This window comes from Homo sapiens, chromosome 5, assembly GCF_000001405.40.
Source record: "Homo sapiens chromosome 5, GRCh38.p14 Primary Assembly".
Classification (NCBI taxonomy): Eukaryota; Metazoa; Chordata; class Mammalia; order Primates; family Hominidae; genus Homo; species Homo sapiens.
In genome coordinates this window covers 79,528,963-79,534,406 of record NC_000005.10, presented here as the reverse complement: position 1 = coordinate 79,534,406, position 5,444 = coordinate 79,528,963, and the positions used below count along the sequence as shown (strand labels likewise).

Here is a 5,444-nt window from a genome sequence, read left to right as displayed (position 1 = left end):
GGCAGGGAAGACATACCAACTTTATACTCTCAGATCTCCTGTGTGTTTCAATTCAAAAAGACTTATGGAGATGCAGTTAGCACATTTCAGCCTTCTGAGGCACAGTCCAGGGCAGAGCAGGGGGAAGAAGAGATGCAGGTGGAGAGGAAAGGGAAGGACTGGGAAGGATTAGCAAAATAACCAGCATAGAAGATTTCCATTATAAACGGGACAAGAAAAGGCTGGATCATTATGTACAGAATAAGAAAAGCCTGGAAACCCTAAAATTATCTGAGAAAAACTAAATCTAACTTAGCCAAATTTAGGCCACACAATTATAGGACATTGATCTGCCCCATCCCATCTGACACAGTGTTAATTTCTTCATTAAATCTCTCTGAATACACTCTGAATAAATAGATTAAATACTGTTAACATTTAGTTTCAATTTTTGCAGGAAGTGAACATATATATCTATCCCTCACAGCAATGAATAAAATTCATTTACAGACATAACTGCCGTCACACTCAAAAGTTAGGGCCCTACTGCTTAAATGAGCATCTCTGGTGTTTTGGTTTGCTTTTGGCTGTAAAGCAAAACAATAAAACAAACATGTACCTTCTGTTAAAATTTATTTTAAATTTAAATTTAACGTCTTTTACTTTGGTTTTGTGCCTGTTCATAACCACATGGTGGTTAGTGAATATTTACATAAATAGAATCACAGAATAGAAAACACTAAAGTCTTGTAATCTATCATCTCATTTAACAGATAAAGAAACAGGTTCTCACCAGTTAATTCACCTGCCCTTGATCAAATAGTTGGTTGTGGCAGAGCCAGACGAGAATGCAGATAGTCTGCATCCTAATCCTGCTACCCATAGTTCTAGAAATGCTTGATTTAGTTCTAATTAAATGGCAAAAGGGCATAGAGGTTAACGGCAAAAGTTTGGAATTAGGCAGACTTAGGTTCAAATCCAGGTGGATTTTAGGCAAATGATAAATTCCTGCTCAGCTTTCTTTTCCTTCCCTATAAAGATGGCATGAATACAGAATACCTACCCCATTAGGGTTGTTATGGGTTGAGTGAGGAAATATACATCAGCATAATGCTTGGCATATAATATTCTTTTTTTTTTTTTTGAGATGAAGTCTTGCTCTGTCATCCAGACTGGAGTGCAGTGGTGCGATCTCATGATCTCAGCTCACTGCAACCTCCACCTCCTGGGTTCAAGCAATTCTCCTGCCTCAGCCTCCCAAGTAGCTGGGATTATAGGCGGCTGCCACCATGCCCGGCTAATTTTTTATTTTCAGTAGAGACAGAGTTTCACCATGTTGGCCAGGCTGGTCTCAAACTCCTGACCTCAGATGATCCACCCACCTCAGCCTCCCAAAGTGTTGGGGTTACAGGCGTGAGTCACTGTGCCAAGCTAGATTTCACTTTTTAGAGCAGTTTTAGGTTTATAGGAAAAATAATTACCTTTTGGTTCACAGATATTGATACTATTAGACCCAGTGAAAAGCTGAAAATAGCTGAAAAGCATAAAGCACTATACAAATATAAGGTGGTATTTTTCTTATGAATAAATAGTGGGAAATGCCTAGGATCTAGTTAACACACCAGAAAGAGATAAATCAACAGAATTTGATCTACCTAGGATGTTAAAGAATATCAATGGTAAAGTTGTGCAATTGCTAGCAAAGTTGTGTATCCTGTTATGGCAAACTTTCCAGGGGACTGATGAATTGCCTATCTGAATTCTATCTAAGAGATGAGTTGCAAGCATAGCTGTGGAAACATACACATAGTGAATATCACACTATACTGGACAACCTCGTCGAATCTGTAATTAAATGGTAGGATCATGGAAAAATGTAAAAACAATCTACTGGGGAAAAGGCACCATAGCTTATAAGGGAAGTTCATATAGAAATATTGTGAGCTCTTTAGGGAAATAATGACTATTGTGGCAAAGGGGAAACCAGCAAATACAATTTACAGACATAAGACTTCTCAAAAATCATTATATGCAGAGACATTTCCTATTCTTAATTAAGAATTTTTTTTTTTTTTTTTGAGACGGAGTCTCACCTGTCACCCAGGCTGGAGTGCAATGGTGCAGTCTTGGCTCACTGCAACCTCCACCTCCTGGGTTCAAGCGATTCTCCTGCCTCAGCCTCCCTTAAATAAGAATTTTTAAAGATTGGGTTATCCTTGAATTGGCAGCACTTTAATAAAATATATGAGAAAAGTGCAGTGGCTCACACCTGTAATCCCAGCAAGTACTTTGAGAGGCCAAGGCAGGTGGAACGCTTGAGCCCACAAGTTCAAGACGAGCCTGGCTAACATGGCGAAAACCTATCTGTACAAAAAATACAAAAATTGGCCGGGCATGGTGGTGTGTGCCTGTAGTCTCAGCTACTGGGGATGCTGAGGTGGGAGGATGGCTTAAGCCTGGGAGGCAGAGGTTGCAGTGAGCCGAGATTGTGCCACTGCACTCCAGCCTGGGCAATAGAGCCAGACCTTGTCTCAAAAAAAATTTTATATATATATGGGGATGGGAGCTGGTTCAAAATGAAGAAAGAGTATATGAATCAATAAACACATCCTAATTGGGAGAAGCCTAAGAGCAGGGTTTCAAAGATCCCTCTGCTGGGACAAGTATATTTAAAATTTGTGTAAGCAATCTGGAGGACAGAATACCAGGGTCATAGATGATGCTGACTCCTAAGTAGTGAATGCCTACAATAGCAATGGGGGAAATGACAGGAAAATAGGAAAACTCTGAAGTTCGGGCAAGTAGGCAGAAAGGTAGCAGCTTCCATTCTTTTACACTAAATGTCCAGGAGTGTTGATTCCCTTTTTAAATAAAGGGATCACAGGGAGATGCTGTCAGTTAAGGGAGTGCCATGGCCAAAAGGAAAGCTCCATGTAGCTGAAGCCTCAGTGTTCATTCTAAAGTAGGTTTTGTGCAATGGATAGAGGTGGCTATTCTCTCTGGTTCTAAAATGTGGAATGTCCTGTCATTCCAGAGAAGTCTTCTATAGGAGTGGGGTGGACAGAAGAACTATGAAGACAGGCTTTTCCCTTAAGGGTAAATGCCTTCTGGAGGTTTAGCTGAAAATTGTAGTTAGGTACCCTAATGTACGAGCTCAGTTAACTCATGGGCAAGCTTTAAAGGCCAACTTTGATTGAGATTTCCTAAGGTCTTTGAAGGGTGACGTGAGCCTTGTGCAAGAAAAGGCATTCTCTCTTTTTTTTTTTTTATAATACATGCCATGGAATCCTTCAGAATGAAGACCCAAAGATACAGGAAAAATGGCCACTTTTTTTTTTTTTTTTTTTTTTTTTTTTTTGAGACGGAGTCTTGCTCTGTCGCCCAGGTTGGAGTGCAGTGTCACCATCTCGGCTCACTGCAAGCTCCGCCTCCCGTGTTCTCGCCATTTTCCTGCCTCAGCCTCCCGAGTAGCTGGGACTACAGGCACTTGCCACCACACCTGGCTAATTTTTTTTTATTTTTAGTTGAGATGGGTTTTCACCGTGTTAGCCAGGATGGTCTCAATCTCCTGACCTCGTGATCCGCCTGTCTCAGCCTCCCAAAGTGCTGGGATTACAGGCGTGAGCCACGGCCCCCGGCCAAGAAAAGGCATTCTTAAAAGGCCACGAGTTTATCCCCGTACCTATGTGATAAATCCATGTCAATGATAATCTGCACTCCCGTTTATAGATGAAAAAGACCAAAATGTAGCTTAGTTCAGAAGGATTCAGAGATTATGGAACATGAAGTATAAAATATTTTCCATTTGTATGCTAGGGTCTCTGTTTTGCTTTCCTTTTACACTGCATAAGATCACAGAGTTGGTATGGTATGCCTGTGTGAAAAACACACAGGTTTTGGCTGCTTTAAAAGAATACATTTCAGAGGCCGGGCGCGGTGGCTCACGCCTGTAATCCCAGCACTTTGGGAGGCCGAGGCGGGAGGATCACGAGGTCAGGAGATCGAGACCATCCTGGCTAACACAGTGAAACCCCGTCTCTACTAAAAAAACACAAAAAAATTAGCCGGGCGTGGTGGCGGGCGCCTGTAGTCCCAGCTACGCGGGAGGCTGAGGCAGGAGAATGGCGTGAACCCGGGAGGCGGAGCTTGCAGTGAGCCGAGATCGCGCCACTGCACTCCAGCCTGGGCGACAGAGCGAGACTCCGTCTCAAAAAAAAAAAAAAAAAAAGAATACATTTCAGAAATTTGAAGTCAGTTTCCCTAATTCTTTTTTTTAAAGGAAAATTTGTATTACTTTAATTATTTTTATGTACAGAAAACTCAACAGTGTACATTCAACCCAGTTTGATGGCAAGTTCTTTAGCCTTTGCCTTTTCAAGCTTGGCAATATGAGCCACAGACTTGGGACCCAGGACATTGCCTTCCCAGTGATGGCGGAGCTCATCATATATGTTGTAATTGGTCCTGATAGCTTCCACCAGCTTAGCCAAAGCTCCTTTGTCTTCCACGTTAACCTGTGTGAAGGTGACAATGATCCAGGTCTTCCTGTGGACTAGATGTCCCAGTTTTGCTTCCCCCTTCATAATGTAGTAAGGGACCCCCATTTTACAACACAGGGCAGGCAGGAAGACAACCAGACGTTGTGTGCCACACGTTGTGTGCAATCACTAGCAGCTGAGCTTTCTTGTTCTCCACCAAGGTGTGACAGTCTTAACTCCTGCTCAAAGGCCAGGTAGTCTCTTAATGGGGACATCCCCTTTGCCAGCAGCTTTCTTCTCAGTCAGGCCAACAGCCTCAGCTTCTTCTCCTTGCTTTATCTCTGGCCTGTACTTGTGGGCCAGCTTAAGCAGCTGAGTAGCTGTTTGGTGGTTCAGAGCCTGAATGAACTGGTTAATCGCAGGAGGCACTTTCAGCCGCTTATAGGGGATGGCTATCTGCCACTGCAACGTGATACAGCGGGGCCATTTCACAAAGCAGGTCAGGTCTCTTTTGGGCTGGATGTCCTGTCCAATGCCAAAATTCTTAGGCCTTTTCTCAAACAGGGGATTCACCACTTTCTTGGCCTCCTGCTTCGTCATGACAGCAGGGGCCGGAGCCACCTTCTTCCCCTTTTTTCCTTTTGGCATCTTGGGCGGTGGAAGAGAGAGCTAGTTTCCCTAATTCTTACATAGTCTAATGTTCCCTTTCCATTTTATAGTTCCTCTTAAGTAGCTGATTATAAGGTAATACAAGGAGTAGAAAAAATGCAACTAATTTTCACATCAGTAAAAGAAACAGAAAACTGACAACTATCTTTCATATGTAAAGAGTGCATTTACTAAGCATTTGCTTAGTAAATATTTCATTTAATTATTACAACAAATCCTTCAGGTACTATAATTATTCATATCTTAGAATCTGGGAGACTGAGGCTCAGAGATGATGTGTTGAAATAACACATCCCGTGCTACATGGCTGGGCCAAGA

General features: G+C 42.4%; 1 pseudogene; it reads right to left on the bottom strand.

The window, feature by feature from the left end:
* Positions 4,256–5,126, bottom strand: RPL7AP32 (ribosomal protein L7a pseudogene 32; annotated as a pseudogene).